General features: G+C 41.7%; 1 protein-coding gene across 4 annotated transcripts in view, besides 1 other annotated feature; it reads right to left on the bottom strand.

The window, feature by feature from the left end:
• ATXN7 (ataxin 7) overlaps positions 1-27,041 on the bottom strand; it is a 140,319-nt gene that overhangs the window by 56,066 nt on the left and 57,212 nt on the right. The window lies entirely within an intron of this gene.
• Positions 25,297-25,396: an enhancer, noted in NCBI's record as "active region_20032". NCBI's record gives its function as "activates an Ori minimal core promoter by ATAC-STARR-seq in GM12878 lymphoblastoid cells {active_cell/tissue: GM12878}" and the evidence as "EXISTENCE:reporter gene assay evidence [ECO:0000049][PMID:35858748]".

Below are 27,041 nucleotides of genomic sequence, written 5' to 3'. Positions count from 1 at the left end.
CCCAGAATGGTCTCAAACTCCTGGGTCAAGTGATCCTCCCACCTTGGCCTCCCAAAGTGCTGAGATTACAAGTGTGAGCTACTGCGCCTGGCCAGCATTTTCTTCACATATTGAACCGTGATGACCATAGTACCTACTTCACTGGGTACTTCAAAGGACAGAAAGACTAAGAGAGCTACTACATGCCAGTCTTAGAAATGCACCTGGCCCTAGGAAGTGCTCACTCAATGTTTGCCCACAGTCTATGAGATAAAAGTCATGATTGTTATTTGTCAGGAAACTAAGGCACACAGGATTGAAATCTCACAAACTAGTATATAGCACACCCAAGGTTTAAACCCAGGTCTGCTAGACTCATAACACCCCTGGCAATTTCCAGTATTCTCCCAGAATCACCTCCTCTATGCCAGTGCCACTCCCACTGCCAGTGCCCAAGGTCAAGGTATGGGGCCTCTACTCACCTGAACAGGTCTCCTAACAAGGCCACAGTTTGTTCCTCTTACGTAGCCTCCTCCTCCCAGCTGCCTGAGCCCACAAACTTGTAAAGCAATAATACCACTTCTCTACTTGAAGACCCCTGCTGGCTTCAAAGTGGGGGTTGGACTCTGGACCTACTGCTCTGCAACAAGGCGCCTACCTAGCATTCTGGTCCCTCCCATCTCTCCAGCCTCAGTCAATGTGATTCTGCCTCAAGTCTCCTGTCATTCTCAGAACCTGTCTTGTTCTCCTAAAATTCCTTTTTTTTTTTTTTTTTGAGACAGAGTCTCGCTCTGTCGCCCAGGCTGGAGTGCAGTGGCACAATCTCGCCTCACTGCAAGCTCCGCCTCCCGGGTTCACGCCATTCTCCTGCCTCAGCCTCTGGAGTAGCTGGGACTACAGGCGCCCACTACCATGCCCGGCTAATTTTCTTTTTGTATTTTTAGTAGAGAACGGGTTTCACTGTCTTAGCCAGGATGGTCTCAATCTCCTGACCTTGTGATCCTCCTGCCTCAGCCTCCCAAAGTGCTGGGATTATAGGCGTGAGCCACCGCGCCTGGCCCACAATTCCTTCTTTTGGACAGAACAGCTCCTACAGCATAGAAAGCTCTTCTCTCTGCTCTTTCTACAATTCCCACCGTTCGACAAGAACTAGCCCCAATGCCCTCTCTGCTAGGCTCCTACTCATACCCTTTATGCCTGCCATTTCAGCCCTTCACTCACTGATTTATGATTTATGAATAAAAATTTACAAATGGAAACCTCAGTAGTCCTGTCTGGACAGCAGACTCTTTGCCTTGCCTAGCACAATACCTGAGAAGTTCCCTATCACTGTGTGTTTATGAAGTAAATGACTGGCATTTGGAACTTTTCTGTAGCTTTCAGTTGCTCTTAGGATAAAAGCAATGATCCCTGACCTAGCCCACCAGCCTTGAACAGCTTGGCCCTGCCTCTCTGCATCTGGTTACTCTGGCCTTGGTTTTGTTCCTGAACTACACCACACTCTCGTCACAGAATCCTGTGTGGTACTTGCTGCTCTTTTTGCCTGGAACTCAGTTCCCCCAGACCTGTACCTGGCTTGTTGCTCTACTTCATTCGGTCTTAGCTTCAATGTGGCTTCCCCAGAGACTTGGCTAGGTAGGGCTCCTAGCCAAGCACTATCTCCCATTTGTAAACATTCATCCAGCTGTGCAAGCCTTAACTTCCTCCCACTAGACTACATTCCATATCTATCTTGTTGACTGCTCTGGTGGCAGTGCCTAATGGTGCCTAACCTGGCTGACAGAAAGCAGCAATGAATATGTGCTAAATATTACTTGATGAATAATAATTGAAAGATTAAGTCCTTGTGATGCCACCGTAAGTCAGAAGGTTATAATTGTGCTTTTATGTCATTTAGTGACACATGGTCATCATCTGCTGGAATTGGGTATGCCATTCAGTGACAGAGAAGTTCAAGTTCAATAGTCTTCCCTGAAAACATTTTATACCTAGAGGCAGTTTCTAGTAAAACTTCTGTATTTCAATGTCTGATTCTCAAATCTGCATGTTGACAAATTCTTTTGTGCTAGTGAATCCAGCACAGTAGCTAAAAGCAGTTCTGCAGTGAGACTACTTGTATTCAAACGTCTACTCTTCCTCTTACTAGCTATGTGAGCATGGTTAAATTATTTAACCTCTCTGAATCTCAGTTGCCCTGTGTCTAAAATACAGTTAACAGGACCTGTGTTTCACAATACTATTGTGAAGACTGAATGATCCATGGAGAGCGCTTAGTACTACTGATAGTAATCACTCAATAAAGTTAGCTCAAGAAAACAAAAACACAGGTTGGGTGCGGTGGCTCATGCCTGTAATCCCAGCACTTCGGGAGGCCGAGGTGGGTGGATCACTTAAGGTCAGGAGTTTGAGACCACCCTGGCCAACATGGTGAAACTCCATCTCTACTAAAATTACAAAAATTAGTTGGGTGTGGTGGTTTACACTTGTAATTGCAGCTACCTGGGAAGCTGAGGCAGGAGGATTGCTTGAACCTGGGAGGCAAAGGTTGCAGTGAGCTGAGACTGCGCCACTGCACTTCAGCCTGGGTGACAGAGCAAGATTCTGTCTCAAACAAACAAACAAACAAAAAACAAAAACCAAAAACTAACAAAAAACAAAAAAAAACATAACTCACAAAATTGATCCACATTAGAAATGTTTGTCTCAAGGTCCCCGGCTCTTACTAATTAACAGAAGTCTGGTCTACAGTAATCCCCGCTTATTCATGGTTTTGCTTTCTGAGGTGTGAGTTACCTGTGGTCTGAAAATATTAAAATGAAAATTCCAGAAATAACTTCTAAGTTTTAAACTGCAAGCCATTCCGAACAGCAGGATGAAATCTCGCACCATCCCACTCCATCCTGCCCAGGACATGTATCATCCCTTTGTCCAGTATATCTACACTGTCTACACTACCTGTCCATTAGTCACTTAGTAGTTATCAGATCAACTCCTGCTATTGTAGTACTTGTGTTCAAGTAATACTTATTACTTAATAATGGCCCCAAAGCACAAGAATAAAAATGCTGGCATACTGTTATAATTATTATTATTTTATTATTAATTATTGTTGTGAATCTCTTCTGTGTCTGACTTATAAGTTAAGCTTTAACATAGTTATGTATGTACAGGAAAAAACAGTATATATAGGATTCAGTACTACCCTCAGTTTCAGGCATCTACTGGGGATCTTGGAAAGTATCCCCCGCAGATACGGGGGAACAACTATATACACCAATTAGCAACTGACTATTTCACAATGTGAGCTTAACTCTCAAGTGGTCTTGTGCTCCTACTGCTGGCCACACACTCCTCCCTGAAGGCCATGCAAGGGAGAGGTAGGGGAGGCATGCTGGGGCTCCAGCAGCAGAGGGCCAATACTGCAAGCCAAGGGCAACCTACAACTTTTAGCAAGGAAACCACAAGATCCAGAAGGTAACTCTGCCATGAATGTGTATTGACCTAGGTAAGGAAGGCAGCTCCCAAAGGCTGATGCAATAGAGTGAGACAGGAAGAGACTATACAATGAAAATGAGTGAAACCAGACTGAAGACATGGTCTAGAGTACCCTGCAAAGAGCTCAGGAGACCATGGATGTGAGGCTGAGGCAGAGGAAGGAATCCAAAGATGAGTCTGTAGTTTCTTCCTTCTTTACTGCAGCTAATATAAACACATGAAGGGTTAGGCACAGAATAGAAGAACTCAAGTTGTGTTCAAATCCCAGCCCTGCCACTTACTAGCCTATACCTCAATATTCTCATTTCTAAATGGGTAAAGTCAAAGTACCTACCTCACAGACTACTAGGAGGACTACACGAATATATGTAAATGCTTCAAATAGTGCCTCCTACACAGTAAGTACTTTGGAAATTCAAGCCATTTTTATCATCTTCTCCACTGTCGTCCTTTGGTCTCTGAGCTGGCCGTGCTTACCAGGGCCCACTCTACACTCCCCCTGCTCCCCAGTAACCACAGTGATACTTTTAAATCATAAATGTCATCAGGCCCAATTAATCTCCTCAGTGGTTCTACAATGTAGTCAGAATAATAACAAATACTGGAGGGTCCTGCCTAACATCGGCAACCTCAAGACACACTGCTCTCTTCGAACTCTCCGCTTTGGCATTCTGAAATCCTTGACAATTATGCCAACCCCACTTCGGGCCCTTTGCTAGTTCTGTTCCCTCTGTATGGAATGCTTTGCCTGCCTGGCTCTAGGCTTGAGCTCACATTTCATTGGAAAGACTTTCCCTGAATACCCAATTTAAGGCAGGCCCCTGTGGCTTCACACAATTCTCTCTTGTCACTCAGTTATTTCTTATTTGTGTTGTGGCTATCTCCTTCATTAAGATTTAAACTCCATGAGGTCAGGGGCCACAAGTACATAGCACAGTACCTGACACACAGGTTTTCAACAAAAAAATTTGAGAATGGCCTCTGGAATAAAACTGAGTTCAAATCCCAATCCTATCACTCATTAGGAGCATGACCCTTGGGCAAGTTACTCTGCTCAGTATACTCACTTGTAAAATAGAGATTATAGCAGCAACCTTAAGGGTAGTTATGAGGATAAAGAGAATTACCACACATAAAACTTTTGTAACTGTGTTTGGCATGGAGCATGTGCTATGTATGTAATACTATTACAATCATTTCTATTTTTACTATCAGTGGGATACACTAGCCACTGCTTCAATCTCTACTGGTCTGTAGCCACTACCTCTTGTAACACTATGTATTAAGTACTTAATGGGTGTCAGTTATTGTGGCAGGTATTCTAAATACATCATTCATTCATTTATGCACTGAATAAATACATGAATGGCTACTCTGGCTAGGCACTATTCAAGGTATTGGGTAAATATATCGGTGAACAAAATTCACAACCCTACACAAAAGAAAAAAAACCCTGCGAAGTGTTGATACGTATAACAAAAATAAAACAGTTTACAATTATGGAGTGCCTCCTGTGTTCCACGTACAATGCTAAGTATTAACTCATTTGACTTCTCAGGGTCAATAACCTACTTTATAGAAAGCAAGTGAGGCAGCACAGAGAGGCTGTGTGCCTTATGTCACAAAGTCAGTAAGCAGAGGAGCTGGGATGTGAAGGTAGGCTACTCCAAAGTACATGCTCTTTACCATCTTATTAGATGAGCTCCTCCACTACTCAGTGCCCTTCTTGAATTACTCTCCACCTCTCCCAGGAAATCCCTGCTCTTCTGTCTCATTTCATGAAAAGTCAATCAAGCTGTTCCTATCTGCCAGCAGACTCCTGCGGGTACCTCTGTACTGTCTGCTCTCACCGCTGCTCATAGGTTTCCTGAGATGCTAGGACTCTCGGCTCCATTGTTGGATATATTTCTAAGAAACCAGAGAGAAGAGGAAGGCTGGTCTCCACGTAACAGGTTTTACTACAGTCAGTTCCAAATTTATTTCAACAGGTGACTCTCAATAGTCGGTAATCAAAAGTAGCATCAATGATATTTTTAAAGTTTTAAATTGCTGTTAAGTGAGCTTTAGTCTCAAGTAGGAAAGGAAAAAGGTAGAATTTTATTTCCACCTTCCATAAGCACAACTCCCAGATTCATATTGTCTACTCCAATAATTAAAGATAACTGGATTTCCCTTTGACCAAAAGATGTCAAATGATGGAACCAACGAGAGACCAATCAGCAAGCTACTAAATGTATGAGGTCTGGCCCTGCGTAAACCAAAGCAGTCAATAAATACTAGATTTAAAGAAAATAAAGTGAGATGTTTCAAGTAAAAAGCAAGCAACAAAAACCACAGCAGCAGTCCCCAACCTTTCTGGCACCAGGGAACAGTTTCGTGGAAGACAATTTTTCCATGGGACTGGGGCAAGGAGAGAATGGTTTCAGGATGAAACTGTTCCACCGCATATAATCAGACATTAGTTAGATTCTAGGAGCACACAACCTAGATACCTTGCACGTGCAGTTCACAATAGGGTTCACACTGCTGTGAGAATCTAATGCCACCGCTGATCTGACAAGAGGCAGAGTTCAGGCGGTAATGCTCATTCCTCTCTCTCTCCCAAACCCCCCACCCCATAGCCTGACTGCTAACAGGCCACTGACAGACTGGTGCTGGTCCACTGCCCAGAGACTGGGGACCCCTGCACCAGACGACCAAGGAGCTAGAAAGATGAAAATATTCCTAATATTAATTACTCACTAATTACAAATGGCCAATATTATCAATAGTGACCCCTAACAGGTAAGAGTTACAGTGTTTACATTGTCATTGCTTGTACTGAAATTGAGATAAAATGCTGGGGATAGAATAGAGTAGGCAAATATCAAAATCCTGAGGAACCTGCGTTAGGAATGGCAGGTGGGGCTACAACAGTGACCAACATGGCAGTACACACGACAGGTTTGTCTCACGGGTTCCTTAAGCTACTCCTCAAAATACTGTCAGCAAATCCTGACCTCTCAAGTCAGAAAACAAGCTTTCAATGCCATGTGTCCCAAATCTGGAAGTGCCTACCAAAAACCTTATAAATCTTGTCTGCATCCCTACCATTTGGACAAGCATGTAGTCTAGAGTAGGATACGGGCTCTAAGAGTCTACCACTTAGCTTGGTTTTGTAATCTCCAGCAATGTACTTAACCTCTAGGCACATCTAGGCATACAGTTTCTACATTTGAAAATGATAGTATCAACTTTAATGGACTGTTGGACGGAATGAGATAATTCATGTAAAAAGTTGCGGTCTATATCTGTCTAAACACAGTAAGCAGAGTGTACACATAAGGGCTCGATAAAGAACAGTGTTTATTTTGTTACTATTATTATTATTGTGGTTATGATTATAATCTCATGACTCAGTTAAGAATACCATTCCTTCTTTTGTTCATTGCAACACCACATCTGTCAGGTATATTGTGTAAATTCCATGGCTCTCATTCAACTTAGAACAGAATTAATTATGAAATGGCATTGGCTACTGACCTGTCTTTACGTTTTTAAATGGTTAATGTAGCATTTATGTCTGCCGTAAGGCTCCCAGCCTTGGCTGAGGGGCTGTGTGTGTGTGTGTGTGTGTGTGTGTGTGTGTGTGTGTGTGATGGGGCATGGCCTCAATGCTCCAGCAGGGAGTTTATGACTCTGCTTTAGCCTTCACTTCCTGCTTGTATACAGCCTCCAGGTTAGCAAGAGGTGAGATTAGGGCCTTCTCAGGTCCTTTCTGGGCATGCGCACAACTCTACACATCCATGTGGTTTTCTGGATTCCCAGGAGTATGGTGGAACTCTTTGAAGCCCCCAACTGACATCTCATTCCCCAGTGTTTCCTATTTACTTTTTTGGTCAGCCTCTTCTTAGCCCCAGTTGGCATTACCACCTCAAGCAACTGTGACATTGAAGAATCACTGCTGATTTTTTTTTTTAACACCCTAGGAATAGGTCACAGAATGAGCTCTGAGCTAGCCCAAATAAAGACAAGTCCTGAGAATGGGGCTTTTCAGGGAGCTACCAGATACATCAGTGACAATTCTCTGAAAATAAGGCTTTGGGGGAGTTCCAAACCCATTCTGTCCCCTCCAGTGGCTGCTAGACTGCTGGCTTTCACGGCTACCCTAGTTGTGAAGCTGCTGGTTTTCAAAGTTACTGTGGAGTTGGGGAGGAGAGGTTGAAATAGGGCAAGTTAAAACACTATAGAATTCTCTGTACTTACAGATTCAGCCATTTTTCTTGAATATATGCTCATCTGAATTTGCAAGCCTTTGGGGTTAATTTGCACAATTCTAAACAAGTTGATTTTGACAATTCTTGCCAGTGCTTTTATTGCTTTTATGGCAGAGCAGATTTTTGGAGGTCCTTACTCTGACATTCGTTAGTGCTTAATAGAAGCATTTTAATGAAGGATAATATCATCAGTTTGTTTATTATTATGTTCAACATTGCTTCGACTATAGTATGGGGAAGGGAGGTGCTTGGTTTGAAAGTGGAAGTGAGGAGGTCAATCAAGAGCTGTCTGCAGCAGTACAGGGTGAAAGACATGGGGATGGCAGTGAGATGACAAAGAAAGGATTCCAAGACATTTAGAAGGAACTGTTGACATGACTTTGTAATAGCCTGGATACAAAGGTGGTGAAGAGAAGGATGCCATGCTTCCCATCTTACAGAACAGGATGGATGGATAAGAGGTATCAGTCTCTGAGAAAGAATCCTGGAAGAATGCCAGGTCTGAGAATGAAGCCCATATATGTGGGACATCTAAGTTCTAAGGGCCTCTGAGACAGCCAAGATACCAAAGAAGCCATCATCTTGAAGATTCTCCCCTAGTTTCAGGCAAATGTCTTACAAATCAAGTCCTAAAACTTTATTTCTTCCATATGCAAAAAAAAAAATTAAAAAAATTTTAAAAGGCAAGGCACACATACTAAGTATCAATAATTCAAAGTCACCCAGGAATTTAAAATATGGTTCCAAGAATGATGAGAACCATGCATTAATATCTGAAACTACTAATTGCTTACACTGAAGTGAACTAAAGTTTTCCCCAAAGGTAGCTTTATTTAAAGAGAAGTTACAATAAAAATAAAGATAAATCTCCTGTGTCCAAAAGATTCTGTTGCACTCATACACATCAACTTAATGCTTTCATTGATGCTTGTGAAAACAATTCAAATCAATCAGACTCCTTCACTTTTCCACTCATTCCATAAATACTCATGGTGCCTCACAGCTGACAGCACTTGGTCAGACCAGGTCCTGTAAGTGTGAACTGTTCTTTTGGTTTTAATGCCAACTTCTCTCAACATTGTACCTTTTTAGCTTTGAATGCATTTTCCTTAGGTCTCACTTTATGCATAAAACCCATGTGTACAGCTGCTTTCTCTGGTTTGGAAAGGGGAGGGGAGAGATTTGTAAGGCAACACTGAAGAGGGGAAAGGGGAGTGTTAACTGCTGGTTAATTACTTCTACTCCTAATCCTTCTTAATATTACAAAGGCTTTTTCTGTTTAAACAGATTAGGTGCAGTTTATTACCACTGGGAAATACTTAAATGCAAGTTTGTTTTGATCGTTAGTTCATCTGCTTATTTCTGTTTCAAAAACTAGAAGACCTAATGGCAATACTTCCACAAGAAAGTATCATGCATTCTCTTATCTCAGTTTTACTTCTTCAGACTTTGCAGTTTCACTATTTGTCCTTCCCGGGGAACCTGGTCAACATACCTGAACAAGGTACTCAAAGCTCACTTTACCACAACCATATGCAAACAAATGTGGTTGGCAGCTAACACCCTGACCAGCTACAATTCAGATTGATGTCTCAACCTAAAACACCTATTTCTTCCCAGATTTGTTTCGAGTGCTTCTGAAGTAAAAGGTCAGGCAAATGTTTAAAATACAACCTAACAACAGCTACCATGTCAAACATTTATTGAGAACTTAATGGGCCAAACAGTGTGCTAAGTACTTTCCATGCTTTATGTTACGTAATCCTTGCAACCCTGTAGTATAGGTACCATTCTTAACCCCAGTTTACAAATGAGGAAACAGGCAGGCACCGCAAGATTAAGTAACTTGCCCAAGATCACACAGCTGACAAGAGGTGGGGCTAGTGTTAAAGGTTAAAACTAGTTGACTCCTGATCCCAGTCCCTAACCAGCATGCAATGATACGTCACTGGTTACAAAGCTTCATTCCTTCCTCCAACACATATTTACTAAGGGTCCTACTATGTTTCATCTCTAGGGAAGAGTAAACAAGTAACTTAAAAATTCAGCTCTTACAGAAGTGACCCAGCGTCTTACATTACAAATACTGTTTACTTTAAGACACTTGTGTATGTAAAACTATTCACGTAAGTTACTTTTACACATAATACTACTTAAAATTCACCACTGGCCTAATAAACCTCTATTACCCCAAACTATGGTGTACAAAAAAATTATATTGAAAATGATTTGAGTAGGGGTTGAGTTCCAAATATGTTCATTTGAGGCATAAACCATTCAAGTATTTTTGAAAAAACTAATGTGACAATCCACATTTCCTCCCCACATTCAGCACTTAAAGACAAGAAGAAAAAAGAACTTTATGCGCTAATAAATGGAAACCAACAGAAACTATTCTTTTCCCCTACTAAGCCTTTGGTCTATTTTATTTTTGTTAACATATTTCTGTCTTCCCTCATTTCTGAAAAACAGTCGACACACTGCCTTATTTACGTCCATGCTTATCAGTAATTACATGGCCATATCTCTGCAAACAGTTGGTTAATTAATTCGTACCCCCATCTTCTGGCAGCCTGCCTATGCAACTGAACAGCAAAAATAATTACACTAGGCTAGGCAGGAACATTTTCACTCTTATTTTTTAGACTTCTTATCATTGAGCTTGTTGCCTTTCTTTAAATGAGTTTCAGTTGTAGAACACTTACAAATTAGATTGTGGTCATTTGAAAATGATAATATTTTCATTCTTTACTATAAGCTTGAATATTCCACTGGGACTGAAAGGGGCAGACTAGAAAACGGACCAACCAGTCAAAGGTACAAAATATGGGCTGAGTAGAATCACGGATAAAGAAAAATCAAGCTGTATTCAAGGAGAGATCATTATCTCTTTCATTATGTTACAATCTGAGGTTAAATCCATCAACAAATATTTACCTAGAACCTATCACAGGCAGTTCCTCCTACTTTCCTACACAAAACCATATGTGAGAAAGTCAAACAGGAGGTTATTGGGATCCTGTATGCCCCACCTCAAATCACAAAATTTCTACTTATACCTCACCTTTGGGACTCAGTCTGAAGGGATATATTTCCAGCACTTCAAAGGTAAACACGACAGTCTCTTGACTAGCGTAAGACCACCTAACATATAACTGAGGTCATAACTTACTGTATATCTAATGATTTTCCTCCGTCTTGATTTTATAGCAGGTTTCCATTTTAAGGGAGCATTCAGTTGGCTATTTTCAAGTCAGCTAATATAATCCTTGAAAATTTCACAGACACCACATGGAGGCCAACCAGTTAAGTCCTACACAGTAAGCTGTGTCACTGATGTTAGCACAGATGGCTGTTTCAACCAGGTGAGATAGCTGGCTTGCATTTAGAGGCCTTATTGTATGAAAAAAAAATCCATATAATTAAATACCGGAATCACAGGACAATGTGATGCTTATAGTTTGAGAGACTTGCAGGAATTGAGACTGAATAAGGGAAAAGCGACTAACGTTCCACAATTATTTGTGTGTTTACTATGTTTAAGGTACTTTCTACATGAAAATATGGTAGTGAGCAAAACCTTGCCCTCATGGGACTTACATCTTAACATCTTAGTTGATTCATACCTCCTACTCCAAGCATATTTCAAAACAATATGCATTGAATGACTGGTAAAATTAGCCACACTATTTTTCTTTCTTTACAGCATATAGTACAATTTGCCTAAGCTAACAACACTTAAGATGCAACCCTGCTACATAAGGTTCGACATATCTGTTTATCCCCAGCATCTGGACATTAGTTTGTGCTGTATACTCACTTTTATAATGAGCAAAATGCAGTAAAATGATCAAATAACCACTCAAACTCATTGCTGAAAGGGCAAAACAGTGACTATTGAAAAAAAAAACGTTGGTACTAATATCATCATGTGAAAGACTGTACTGTTTGTTGTCCTGAGCTGTATAAAGGTCCAAAACCATACGAAAGGCAGTTTAAGGGCATCATCACACAACACAGGAAAGTGCAGACTGTTCAAAAGTTTGAAGCAGTATGTTCCAGTCACTGAGCTCACTACTGGGGAAAAAAAGGCACAGTATTATAGCCTTTGCCCATAAGGAGCTTCCAATTCAGTTGCAAAGCCCAGATATTCACAGAAATACCACATTCCTTAATGTCAAAGCTGCCATCGAGTGTGTGTGAATAGCTTTGGGGGAATAATTTTTTTTTAATGTACCCTTAAATGTTATAATCCATTCTGATTTCAGAAATACTAAAACAAGAGAAAAGTAGGCATCTTGGAAATAAGACTATACAGAGCAAGGGCTACTCTGGAACTTCATAGGTGCCACTGTGCAATACCAGTGAAACTCAAGATAGGGAGACAGTGCTCCCCTTGGTAGCCACTCCAAATAATTTAGTTACTGCAGGGCCACAGGAATCGCCGTAAGTGATCTCCTCCATAATGTGACTGTTGAGAAAGGAACTAGCACTCTTTCAATAGTGGAAGAGCAGCAGCATCAACATTCATTCATTCATTCATTCATTCATTACCTTTACTAAGCTACCTACTATGCAGTAAACACTGAAGAACATTTCTACATACCAGGCACTGTGCTCAGGGCTTTCTATATATTAAAGTTGTGGTTTTCAAGCACAGACAATTTTGCCCCCAGGAAACACTGGCAACGTTTGCAGACATTTTTGGTTGTCACAACTAGAATCCAGTGGTAGAGGCCAGAGAGGCTGCTAACACACAGCAAGATTAACTACTGTAATCCTACAATGCATAGAACATTCTCTCACAATAAAGAATTATCTGAGCCCAAATGTCAACAGTGTTGAGACTGAGAAACTCTACATTAATTAAAGCATTCTCGTAAGAGCCCTATGGGGGAGACACAATTCAAATCCATGCCCACTTTGAGGAAACTGAAACAAAAAGGTGTTAAATAACTTGCCCAAGGTCTGTGGTAAGTGCGGTAGGGACTCTAACCCAGAAATCTGATGCTGCTGTGCAACAAACATTAAGTTCCTACAAAATTCTTGGTGATTACAGGAACTCAGAGAGGAAGTACTTTAAAAACTGAGTCACCACAACATAATACTCCTCAATTCACTCTCTATTCCTTCAGTTCCCATCTAGAAATATTCTCTTTCTGCCTCTCACCAAGAACATCTCTTTCCTAGTGCCCCACCCCTATTCAATTTTGATCTCTGGAAAGAAGTAGGATGACTGTATGATTTCTCCACCCATGGCTCAGAGTGGTTCCCATAAGCATAAACAAAAACATCCCCTGCCCCCAAGAACCCAGAAAACCAGCAGTTCTTTCCCTCTGTGAATCTTCTTCCCAGAAGCGGCAAATCATCAGGACACTGTGCGCCAAAGAGGCCAGACTCTATCATAGCCTCCGAGTAGGCAGGAATGAGTAGGCTGTGGGAGGTGGAAGAGGCTGCCAGCAGGCAAGAAGTATGAAAGGACAGGACACAAGGGGGTGGTTTCAGACTTCCCCAGCTCCTGGAGGAATTAGTCTTTGGCTTCTCAATACGAATACAGTGTCAGCAATTAGCTGCAAAGGAGTTAGGCCAATTGATGATTCTAAAAACAATGATGAACATAAGTAGCTTTTTAAGTACAACATTTGTGATTCAACCAACTACGCAATTTCCAATCACCACTGTTTTGGAAAACCCAGGGTCATATCTTAAAATAAATAACCATACTGGCTAATTTAGGAAAAAAAAAAACAACAGAAAAGAGAAAATCAACTAGCCACTCCCTCCAATAGGTAACGACAGTTATGAAGCATCAACTTGACTACCCATTCAGCAGGAACCACTGCGCACCCCTTTATTGCCCATTAAATGTTATATAACAAACTACTTTGCACAGGTTTATTTCAATACCCAGTAGAGAATACCACTTAATTGAGAGGGATACAAGGGACATTACCACAGTCACAGGGAAATTTTACTTCCCTTTTTTGCAAAAGAAAAGTAGCTGAAACTATAGTCACTTAACATTTTGTTTCCTGTTCAACCCCAAAATCTTGTTACAAGATATATAGTTCACTCATCACAGACTTTCTTGAGGGAGGCAAAAACAGTTTTTGCTTTTGAGACTGTGGAGGCCAGGGCTTGCAGAGTACATGAAGAAAGTCAACAACAAGGTGGCAAAAACTGTACCTCAGATTTTGTGTGGATTAAAAAAGCTAATGTCCTAGGTACTTTCAGATGCTGGATGAAGAACATTATTATAACCAGGAAGCCTACAATTAATTCTTCCTTTAACAACAACATTGACTACTTTGAAGGTCAGACTGCATTTTAAAATCACAGGGCTCTAAGTTTCTACAGGACAGAAAACTATAATTTCAACAGCCCAAAACTTGAAGAAAGGGAGACACAGGAAAAAAAGGTAGAGCCTGCCAGTTCCTTAGGGAGAGACTCAGAGAGAAAGGAAACATGTCCCTAGCCATAAAACATACTTCTCTGTCATCTAGATAGACCTCTGACACCTGAAACTAGTAGAGCCTTTTTGGAGGGCACTTTGACATTACCTCTTTAGATACACTCTTAAGTTGTCTGAGTTTACTTACAAAACAAGCAAACAAAAGCATCACTACTGCAAATAAACTTGTAAAAATAACTGTAGGACTGTCGGTAAAAGCAGCAACACTGCCAAGAGTCTGTATGTCCATCCATAAAGGTCAAGTTTAAACAAGAATAGCACACCCATAATACCAAAAACTAGGTGGTAGTTGAATAAAATTAGACAGATCTATCTGTGATGACATGTAACAATCTCCCTATGGCTGAACACAAAAAGCAAGGAGCAGACATAAAACTGGACCAGAGGCCTGGGGAAGCTGCCTGGAAGAACTACTGCCTAAGCCCCGATCTAAGAGATGAGAAGTAATTTTCTCTTTCTTGGGGAAAGGGGTCACGGGAAAGGAGCAGAGGGAAATTGTCTGGGAAAAAGGAAAGTGTACCTACACAGGGACAGCACATAACCTGTGAAAAAGCCAAGGAGTTTAGAGGCTGTGGTGGCCTTAGGCAAATACAACACTGTCCACCAGCCACATTAAGTAGTTTTACCTTTACCCTAAGGGCAATGGCAATCAATGAAGTCATTTAAAAACAAGACCCTATTATATGAGAGTATTAGAAAGATCACCCTGGCTGCCACCTCAAGTCCTAAAGTCTGTCTCCCATTTGCCCTTAATTTACAAATAACTTCAGTTCCAAAACCTCAGGTAGGACTGAAATTTTTTTGTCTATCTGAAATGATGCATGCCTATGTGGTATTACTATGACAAAAAAAGGTTCATCTTCTCAGCCTGGCCTACTTCTGACTCTTAACTTTTAATGCAGCCAAAATACTGTATGTTTCTGTAATTAATATTGCAGAAAACACAGCAGTGAATGCACTAAGCAAAACAAAACATTTAGAAACCAAATTAAAAAATTTTTTAATTACCTTGAATATGGGAACCTGCACAAACACCTGCTTTAAGTACAAGTAAAATAATAATGGAAATTTGTGATGATCTTATAAAAAAACACTTTGGATATTCATTGGTGGTGCTAAACACTATTGAGTCATGAGGGCTTTTGAAAATCTGTTGGAAGGTATATTTTCTCTCCCTACAAAACTGTACTCAGGTAAATATGGCCAATATTTTGCACATATACATGAAGTGATGCAAGGACCTCCCATTGCTCAAATAACCCCAGTTTGAGAATCCCTGATTTCAAAGCCCACACCCTCGTCCTTCCTGTGTCTACTTCCAAACTTCAGGCTTCTCTTTCCTTTGACACAGTTTTATTATCGTTAAAACTTACATCTGCCACCCATGTCACCTAAATGACAAGGGAGACACTAAAAGAGAGCAGCATTTAATGTAAACTCTTTTCCTAAAGTAAAAGTTTCAGGGGCAGTGGGGCAATTTAAAGAGGGTATGGGTGGAGACAAAGGAGATCACCTAATACAGAATAAATACAGTCAAGGGTATTTGAAAAAATAAAAAAATAGATGGCAATAATGTTCCTTTTCTCTGAAGAGAAGACAAAAAGGCCATAAGGAAAAGAGAACACTGGATCAGACCTGTAGCGGCCTCATTAGCCAGGGGCCTTCAGTTTGCTCTCTGTAGCAAGAGAAAGTCCCGAAGTGTCCTCTATGGCCTCCAGGGGCTCTCCCTGAGCCCCTGACAACCTAGTCAAGGCCAGACACACTATAAGCATAGATTCCACACATGGGTATTCACAGCTATTGCCTACAAAACCTTTATCAGAGTTATAATACAACTTGGGGTAATTAAGCTTCATGCTTTCTCCTCTACTTTTTTTTGGGGGGGCGGGTGTTTACAAGTTAGTAACAGCAAGAAGATCAGCACTAGAAACAATAAATCAGCAAACTTCTGCTGTAGGCTGGATGTGGTGGCTCACGCCTATAATCCCAGCACTTTGGGACACCGAGGCAGGAGGAATGCTTGAGCCCAGGAGTTCAAGATCAGCCTGGGCAACACAGTGAGACCTTCTCTCAAACAAACAAACAAACAAACAAAACTTCTACTGTATATACCATTAACTCCAGCGTTAAGGGTCCACCTCTTCTAGATCCTTGTGTCTCACCTTTTCTTAGCAGTTCTTTGAAACAGCATCATTCTACTCTCCCAAGCCACATACGGCAATCAACAGCCATATTTAACAAAATCAATGCGCAAGTTCTTATTGTATCTTCACAGAAGTAGCCACCTGTCTAGTGTCCTAAAACTTGGTGCAAAAATTCTTAAGCAGTACAGATACATTCGAATCCATTAAAAATTTTGTAAACTTGCCGGGTGCGGTGGCTCATGCCTGTAATCCCAGCACTTTGAGAGGCCAAGGCGGGCGGATCATGAGGTCAGGAGATTGAGACCATCCTGGCTAACACGGAGAAACCCCGTCTCTAATAAAAATACAAAAAAAATTAGCCGGGCGTGGTCGTGGGCGCCTGTAGTCCCAGCTACTCAGGGGGCTAAGGCAGAATGGGGTGAACCCGGGAGGCGGAGCTTGCAGTGAGCCAAGATTGCGCCACTGCACTCCAGCCTGGGCAACAGAGCGAGACTCCATCTTCAAAAAAAAAAAAAAAATTGTAAACTCTGGGATTTGAAAAAGATCAAGTGGCTATTCTTCCACTCTGGACTTCTCTCTTCATTTGACAGTGCCCAGATATAGACAGAATCATGGCCAAGGCCTTCCAGGGAAAGCTGTGGAGGGGCTACACACAAAGGGATCCTATTACAGGATATCTTCATCAGGCAAATAAGAATTTGAGTAATGAGGCCAAACCAATAGCTTGCAAGGTATATTCCCTACTCACTCTCTAGTTACCTTTTCACAAAACTGACAGCACTTAAAATTTCCTGGGGATTTGGGAATAAAAATAAAAACTTATCTTTTAAAATGCAAGGAAAATCTGTCTCTGAACAGGGGCTGGTAAATTTTACCAAATCAAGCATTAAAGCCTGACCTCTCAAAGTCCTCGGCACTATTTCAGAACCATTAAAATATATATTAAGACCCATTTTTCATGTTAAAAAAATTATGTCCTATTTAGTCATAACCATTTCAAAACCCTAGATTCCTGCCAAAGACTACTGGGCAGGTAATTCCCAGTTCCTGTGGATGGATCGGGGAGCCTCTCAGTCATCTCTCCACTACTTGTCAGTCAGCTCACTGGCAATATACAGTGTGAACCACTGTGTGATGAGCCAAGGACAGGGTTCTGGGACAGGCTCTGCGGTCAGAGAGAGCAAGCTGGCCTGGTCTTTGAGCAAACTCCCATCGGCCTTGTGCCCGCCCTGACACACACAGGTAAGGCCACAGTAATGTAACATGACCAAGTCTAAAGAAAATATCTGATGAAAAGTTCTGTCCTTTGTTGTTGTTTGAACTTATTTCCTTTCTGGGTAGCATTACCACCCGGGCAAGCAGAGATGGGGAAAAAAGAATGAGAGGTCAGATCAATCTACTTAGTTACTTAATATCAACCAGAGCCTTGCTTAATGGGTACGAGTAAAAATTAACAATTCTAATTCTCAAAAGAAAGGCAGGCCGGGCGCAGTGGCTCACGCCTGTAATCCCAGCACTTTGGGAAGCAGAGGCAGGCGCATCACGAGGTCAGGAGATCGAGACCATCGTGGCCAACATGGTGAAACCCGGTCTCTACTAAAAATACAAAAATTAGCTGGGCATGGTGGCGCATGCCTGTAATCCCAGCTACCTGGGAGGCTGAGACAGGAGAATAGCTTGAAACAGGGAGTCGGAGGTTGCAGTGAGCCGAGATGGCGCCACTGCACTCCAGCCTGGCAACAGAGCGAGACTCCATCTCAAACAAAAAAAAAAAAAAAAAAGAGAGAGAGAGAGAGAAAGCTTCCTAGATAATCTTTGGATTACAATGATTTCCATGCATTATTCTAAAATGTTGTAATAGTTGTGTTTATCTTCTCAGATGTAGACATTGTCCTAAGTGGGTAATAAATACGCCATTTCCCTTTTATGTTTAATTTCTGAATTGTTTTCACCTGTCTCAACTAACCATTAGGATTTGCTTTCTCAGAGTTAACCATTTCTCCACCATGCATTCTACAAACTATATACCCTACAGAGTTTAGATGAACCCTTATGTGGACTAATATGCACACTCAAGCCTCGCAAAGGTTTTAGGCCCAAGGTCCTGACATAATCCATTTCCCCCTCTCCACCAGAACTTCACTACTGCTGCTATTATCTAAAACATTAACCAAGCAAATTCCCTGATTTTAAACTGCTCTCTGGAGTGCGCCTGATGCTTTACTCATTTACCAATAAATAAAAGCCTATTCCTGTTGTCCCCACAAATGTCAGCTCAACATGCAGAAATAAGCCACTGCTGAATTGATAAATCAGGGAACCATCTGGCCATGGGGTGAGCCAGACCAGGAATCGCAGCTTTGCCACTCATAAGCAGTGAGATTTGGGACAGTGTAACTTTCCTGAGCCTCAGTTTCCTCTTTAAAACGGGGATAATATAAATACCTGTTTCAGACTACTGCTGTAAGGATTGAGGCAGTCCATGTAAAGCTCTTTACTCAGTGCGTGACACACACAGTAAGTGCTCAAAGAATGAGAGCTACTATTATTACTACCACTACTTTCTACCAGGTATTGTCTAAGATGCTTAATTTTTTAAGTTATCAATTACTTTTCAAAAATACCTTGGCACTCAAAAAAAAAAATGGGTATGCAACCACATAGCTATAAGGATTTGTCACATGTTCATAATTCTTGATTGCCATCTATCTAAATCCTATATATAAGTAGCTGTTTTTTTGTTTGTTTTTGAGAAAGGGTCTCGCTCTGTCACCCAGGCTGGAATGCAGTGGCATGAAGACAGCTCAATGCAGCCTCAACCTCCTGGGCTCAAGTGATTCTCCCAGATCAGCCTCCCAAAATGCTAGGATTACAGGCGTGAGCCACTGCGCTCAGCCTTCAGTAGCTATTTTTACTTCAGAATTACTAGTGAAGAAAAAAAGAGGATCTTTGTGAAATTTCTACAAAGACTACCCAGCACTGATGAATAAAAAAATTAATTGTTGTATTTGTTACCCTAGCGTAACTACAACCACAATGAGAATATGATTCATGAATAGATTATAAACTCACACAACACAGATTATTTTCAGCAACAGCCACCAGCTTTTAAGAAAACATCTACCAAACAACAACATCTTTTGAAGAAATAGCCATCGCAGCTGCCAGTTAACAATGAAAAGCTCACCAGACATGGGGCTAAGATAAGAGGAACAGAAAGTGTAGCATTTAAAATCTACAGCAGACACCGAGTCTGTCTCCAGTACAGTAGTTCATCAGAGTGGAAAGAAAAAGGCCTAGAAACAGAAATAAAGGGAAGGGAGAAAATAAATATCCTATTCAGAGGCTGGAAAAAAGCACAGAGTTTATCTTGGGAAAGAAAACCCTGGTGATGTAACAGAGGGATTCAAGCACACCGTCATTTATTTGTATATACCAGCTATTCCAAAACCATTTCTCTCTTCACGGCTTATTGTTACTCAATCAAAAAAGAATACCAGGACACTGGAACCAAAGACGAACCACACTCTATCACCAACAGGGGAGTGTTATGCCGTGAATGTTATCTCCCTCCTTCAACAAGAATTATTATTAGTGGGTGGTCTATACTGTTTTCCCCCTCCGGGCCAATTGTGCAAATTAGCCAAGACCTATGTAAACACTTCTCATGATAATTCCTTCTACCTGGCATTTATACCCCAAATCTAACAATAACAGCACCTTTCAGCAAGAGTGATGGCTTGGTTTATGTTGACACCAGACAGCAATGGATATCTTTTGATAATGGCTATAAAGCAATATAGAGAGTGATGTGGAAAATTCAAAAAGGTGACTCCTACCAGAAATACATTTGACCCAGCAGTCCCATTACTAGGTATATACCCAAAGTATTATAAATCATTCTACTATAAAGGCACACGTACACGTATGTTTACTGTAACACTATTTACAATAGCAACACTTGGAACCAACCCAAATGCCCATGAATGATAGACTGCATAAAGAAAATGCGGCACATACACACCATGGAATACTATGCAGCCATAAAAAGAATGAGTTCACGTCCTTTGCAGGGACATGGATGAAGGTGGAAGCCATCAGTCTTAGCCAACTAACACAGGAACAGAAAACCAAACACCGCATGTTCTCACCCATAAGTAGGAGTTGAACAATGAGAACACATGGACACAGGGAGGGGAACATGACACACTGGAGCCTGTTGGGCATTGGGGGGCAAGGGGAGGGAGAGCATTAGGACAAATTAAAAAAAACGGTGACACTTAACCTAAGTCTAGCAGGTTTAGAAGAAACCATCAGGGAAGAGGTGTGGGGCAGCAGGAGAAGCAGTAGCCCGTCAGTGGGAAGAGCATATGCAAGAACTGAGGAGTGGGAAAAAGCCCAAGTGGAGCCTGTAGGCAACAGTAAAGGATTTGGATTTTCAGTGGGCTACAAGGCCCTGTGTGATCTGCCTGCCCAACTCACTCATAACCCTTCAGCACCTGACCTTTTTCCACAGCATTCTCTCCACACTGGCCTCTCCAGCCACTCCGCCCCCTGCTGTTCTTCAAAACACCAGGTCTTCTCCAACCAGAGACTTCAGATTTGCTGTTCCTTCTGTGTGAAAGCTTATCCACAATATGCACGACTGAAGCTCTCACATCCTACAAGTCACGACTCAGAAAATCCCTTCTCACCCCATTTAAAATTGTATTTCCCATACTTCATCTTTTTCCAAAACACCCCTTACCACCTGCCATATACTTTTCTTTAACTCGTTGTTGTTGCCTGTCTCCTCCACTAAAATAAACCTTTAGAGGGCAGTTCTTTGCTGTTGTTTTCCTGAAAATACCTAGCACAAAGTAGATGCTCAATAAATATGTGTTGTATGAACGAACAAAGGCAAGCAAATAGAAACCATTAAAGGGTTTTACCGGGGAGAAACAATTCATTTTGATTCATTTGATTGTATAAGTACATTTTAAAATTCCACTTCCTCCATTTATCATTACCTAGAAACTTGGGGATTTCACATTAGGGAGGTGGCTACATGCCCAACTGGCCCTTAACTTTAGCTACCACCAATTCATTTCTACAATGCTACCATAGTGATCTTTCAAACATATCTACTCCCATCTCCTGTCCTCCACTACCTACCTGCCAAGGCTGCAACAAGTTCCAGGCTCCCACACACTGATGCCCCAGCCTCACAAGCTGCTTCCACACCAGACTGGCTAACTCTCCAACTCTCCCCATTCGCCTCTTCCAGGAAGCCTTCCTTTCCTGATCTCTACTTCTTCACCCCAGTGCTCTGACAGGATTCCACCTCAAGTTGCTGAGATTTCTGATTTTCTGGGCACACACTCCCACTATCCAGGCCTTGCTAGGGAGTTTACATTTTCTTCTAAGGGTGCTGGGAAGCCTCTGAAGCAGCAGTCCCCAATCTTTATGACACCAGAGACCAGTTTCGTGGAAGACAATTTTTCCACTGACCAGGGTTGGGGGGGTCAGGGGAACCTCAGATCATCAGGCATTAGATTCTCATAATGAGCACGCAACCTAGATCCCAGGCATGGACAGTTCACAACAGAGTTTGTGCTCCTATGAGAATCTAATGCCATTGATCTGACAGGACGTGGAGCTCAGGCAGTAATGCTCAGTCCCCCACCCCCACTTACCTCCTGCTGTGTGGCCTGTTTCCTAACAGGCCATAGGCGGGTACTGATCCACAGCCGAGAAGTTGGGGATCCCTACTACAAAGGATGCATAAATGTCTGTTGTTACTTGGCTGTATCCCTGTATCCTTGACTGGATACTTAAAAAGGAAGACAAAACTCTTCCTCTTACTGTGAACAGATGATCTCCCAACTTCCCTCTTCCTTCACAGAAATGACGAGAATGAACTAACCATCTTATTCCACAATTCTACATCCCTACCTGCAACTGAATCCATATGCTTTTCCTCTCATGAGAATGTGATAAAGTCTCTGATTCCATCCAAAACCAGCCTGTCCATGTGGACTCTGAGTTGCATCTCCTTTTTCCAACTCAAGGTACTATACTTGTGATTATCAATTCTTTTCACATGTGACCAATTATCCCTTACTCTTGGATCATTCCCAGTGGCAGACAAACATTCCCTAATACTATCCAAATAAAATAAAACAAACCTCCTCATCATTCCCTTAGATCCTTTACCCCATGTCTTCATCCTGCTACTGCCTCATTTCTCCAATCCCCTTTCAAAGTGAAACCCTTTAAAAAGCTGTCCATACTTGCCCTCTCCACTTCTTCAGCTCAGGCTATCACTTCCCCATACAATGAGGGTTCTGCCTCCCCAACTCTCCAGATTAAGGTCATTAATGACCTTCATACTGTCAAAGCCAGAGATCGATTCTCTGGCCTGACTTTACTTCACAGCAGCATATAACAGAGACCATCACTCCTCACTTAAAGCATGTTCTTCTCTCTTCCCAGATTCACCACCATCACACTCATCTGGTTTCCTTACTGCCTCACTGAAGAGTCCTCCTCGCCCACCCACCACCTCACTGTGGAGGGACCCAAGGCTCAGCCCTTGGCCCTAATGGATTCTTTATTGACACTCCTATATTAGGAAACAAACCTAGGTCCCACGACTTTCCATGTCCTCTGTATGTTGAGGATACAGACTGACCCAGTCTCCACCCCAGACTGCTCCACCATGCTCCAGATTGTGTATTCAACTGCTGACACCACAGCCGCACATGAATGCCCACTAAGTACGTCAAAAGCAGTGTGGCCAAAATCAGAGCTGCTGACCCTAAGTCTCCCACATTCGCCAGCATTCCTCAGTTCATTAAGTGGTACCATTCAGTTGCTCAAGCCCCAAATCCCAATTCTTATATTTCTCCCTCATCCACATCCAATTTTTCATCAAATCATGTAAACTCCACCTCCAAACGTATCCTGAACAGGATAACCTCTCTGCATTACCACTGCCATTAGCAAAGTCCAAGCCACTATTACCTCTAACCTGGTCAGCCAGTCCCTCCACATATTAGCCAGTGATCTTAACATGAATTAGATCATTCCCTTGCTGAAGCTACCCCTAACCACCAACTATCCCCCCAACTTTCATTACACTTAAATCCAAATTCCTTTCCTTGGCCTCTACAGTCTAACCTTGTCAGCATTATTTCCCTACATTCCTCCCCCTTCCCTTCTCAGAGTGCCCCTTCCAGATGATCTGATGGCTGCTTCTTTCTTTTTTACTTTTTGTGACAGGGTCTTGCTCTGTTGCCCAGGCTGGAGTCCAGTATGCGCAATCACAGCTCACTGCAGCCTCGACCTCCTGGGCACAAGTGATCCTCCCACCTCAGCCTCCTGAGTAGCTGGGATTACAGGTCACCATGACCAGCTAATTTTTTTTGTAGAGATGGGGTCTCACTATGTTGCCAAGCTGGTCTCAAACTCCTAAACTCAAGTGATCCTCCCGCCTCAGTCTCCCAAAGTGCTAGGATTACAAGTGTGAGCCACCACGCCCAGCCTGTGGCTACTTCTTTCTCGGCATTCTGGTCTCAGCTCAAATGTTAAATGCTTAGAAAAGTCTTCCTTGATCATGTTAGTTAGAATCCCCCTAACCCCAACTCATTACCCTACTTTTGACTTCACAGCATTCAACAGTCCTTGGAAATATTTGTGTATTTACTGTATCTCACTTCCCTAGAGGGCTGGGGCTCCATCTGATTTGTGTCACTCTATCCCTAACACCCATCAGAAAACCTGGCACTTAAGTATCTGCTGACCAACTGCCTGACTTGGGAGTTAGGACTGTGCTTTCTCACCTTCTGTGGAGTTGTATCCTCAGACTTTATCTAGCCTAGCATGAGGCCCAGAGAACATGGGATAAAAGCTAAATGAGTGAAGTTAAGGCAAAACAGTCAGAGGATTCTCAAGGCAGTAATCACAAAATAAACAAAATACACTGAGGCCTACTAAAGGACACGGTCTGAAACTGGTCAGAAAGTGAAATGACCAGGTTGGCAAGTTTCAGTTTTGCTTACCAGTAACTGCCCAAAGTAGTTACATAGGTGTCCTTGATCGAGTGTGATTTGCCCTAAGTCCAAATCCTGTAACTGAAAATACAAAATTGGCCCAGAGTGGGATTACACAGAATGATGGCTTCTGTGTTCCATACTTCTATTATTAGTAAAATCTTTACAGTGAGCATGTATTAACTTCTGTAATAATTTTTTCCATTAAAACCAATCTTCCTATATAGTTTCCAAAAAGAACAAGGTAATTTAAGTGAAGAACTGCTAAGTTAAATTGGAAATTTCCAAGAACTGAAAAGGCAATTTTCTAAATTCCCTCTACAGGCAGAAAACCCCCATGACTATCACCACACATTAAAAAAATCATGTAAGTAGGATCCTCATTTATCTTTCTGATCCACTCCCCACCTTCATGATGACTTTATTACATTGCCTATAATTTACCTTTTTTGCCCAGAAAAAAGGGGGTTTGAAAAACATTACAAGCAGCAGCATAAAGAAGCACAAACTACAGGCTTCCAGAAGATGAGCAAGTACAACTCTGCATAAGCAGGAAAAAGTAAATACCCACATCATGCTTCTCTCTGCAAGTCAAAGAGGTGGCTAAAGGAGGAACTAAGAAATGTCACCTCCCACTTCCCATTTTTACTAGAGTCCAAGAAGGCATGAAACTGAGGTTTGGGCATGATTGCTCATGCCTATAATTCCAACACTCCGGGAGGCTGAGGTGGGAGGATTTCTTGAGCTCCAGAGTTTGAGACCAGCCTGGGCAACATGGTGAAACCCCGTCTCTACAAACAAAATACAAAAATTAGCCGGGCATGGTAGTGTGCACCTGTGGCCCCAGCTACTCAGGAGGCTGAGATGGGAGGATTGCTTGAGACCAGGAAGTGAAGTCAAGCCTGCAGTGAGCCATGGATCATGCCACTGCACTATAGCCTGGGCAATACAGCAAGACCCTGTTTCAAAAGAATAAAAAAGAAAAAAAAAGAAAAAGAAAAAAACTGCGGTTCATTTGCTACACTCTGTCATGCCAGAGTTTCCTCTCACTGCCTACACCTTGTGTGCTAAAGCAAAACTGGCATTTCACTTTCTGCTGCTCCTCTGACAGTCCTGGCTGATGACTTGATTAAAGGCGTGCTTGTGACACTGTGCTTTCATTACTGATAACCTGCATTATATCATTTAATTCTCCCAACCCCTATTAGTTACTAGCATTATTCTCATTTTATACCTGAGTCAAGTGAGGCTCAGTAAAGCTATGCGGTTTCCTTCAAATTGCTCACCTACTAGATCTTAGATTTGAGCCCAGGCTTAATTCTAGAACTGGGGTTCCCAGAACTGTCTCTGTGTAAAGCTAACTTCTGCAAACTTGCCATATGGAACCTCTTTTCTGCATAACACCAACCAAGAGCACACAGAAACAGGGTTCCCTGGAACACGCTTTTGGAAATAATGATTTAAAGCTATGGTACTCAAACACCAAAATAGATACTCTTCTCTGCGAAGACCACAGTGCTTTTTCACAATTAAAGGACTGTCCTTTATTCCAAAACAATGTTCTCATACTTTTTTGAGGGGAAGTACATATAAATTGCCAACAACCGTATGTCTGGAGTCCCCAAATTATTTCTGAAACTTTCTTGTTTGAAATATAAAGCCTGGGGACCACTGGTTAAAAGCATTACCTTTTTTTCTGTTGCATGACTGGAGTTCAGGATTATGGAAAACATCTGTATAACCTGGGAGGGAAATAGTTTCTGTTTTAAGATTGTGAATCTAATTGATAATGAACTAGTGCTTTTTCCTTGCCATATGCTTACATATAAGAGAAAAAAACATTTCATGCTAGCAGGGTCTTTATTACAAAGAAGAACAAGAATACTTAATCTAGTTTTACGTTATGAGTGGGTGAAATGCAAAAATCGTTCTCCTTCTTCTGCTCATTTATTATAATCCCTGCTGTACAAGATGAATATAAATGTAACCCTCTGCCTTTTTCTCAAAAGTACAGTAACTCCAACTGCTAAGTCTACTAACAGGCTTCTTTTTCTTAGAACTTCAATCAAAAAATACTTTAATAATCAGAGGGGCACATTTATTAGAAATACTGCAATAAAAACTTTCAACAACAATGTGATTAAAAGCAATCTTGCACTGAAATGCTATTTAAATAGTGAAATTTCACTTCTCCCTTTCTAAAGGAATTTTTTTTAATGGCACAAATCCCAGATGATTGTGTTTGCTATCTGCTGCAACCTTAGCTTTCATTTAATCTTTTTTTAAAAAGCCCATTACTTCTAATGCAAACTGTAGATACTTCCCCTCCCCCTCAAAGAAAAAATGTTATAAAAGAACAACTAAATACAACACACCGACTGTTGTAAGGCACAGCAAGAAAAGGCTCTGATATTTTTACTTAAAAAAAATGGCTTTTGGTAAAGGTCAGTATTTCTAGACAAGGATAAGAAAAACAAAGGTTAGGGTGACCTGCTCAAGCTCATGAAAAGCCATGTACATTCTGGAAAGGGCTCGGAACAGCAGAATGGTTAAGCATGTGAGCTGTGGAGTAATTAGACAGATCTGGGTTACAGGGCCTCTTACATGCTTTGTGATCTTAGCGGGCTACCTCACTTTTCTGAGTCGTAGTTTCCTCATCTGT

Source organism: Homo sapiens, chromosome 3 (assembly GCF_000001405.40).
Source record: "Homo sapiens chromosome 3, GRCh38.p14 Primary Assembly".
Lineage (NCBI taxonomy): Eukaryota > Metazoa > Chordata > Mammalia > Primates > Hominidae > Homo > Homo sapiens.
This window is presented reverse-complemented; position numbering and strand designations above follow the sequence as displayed.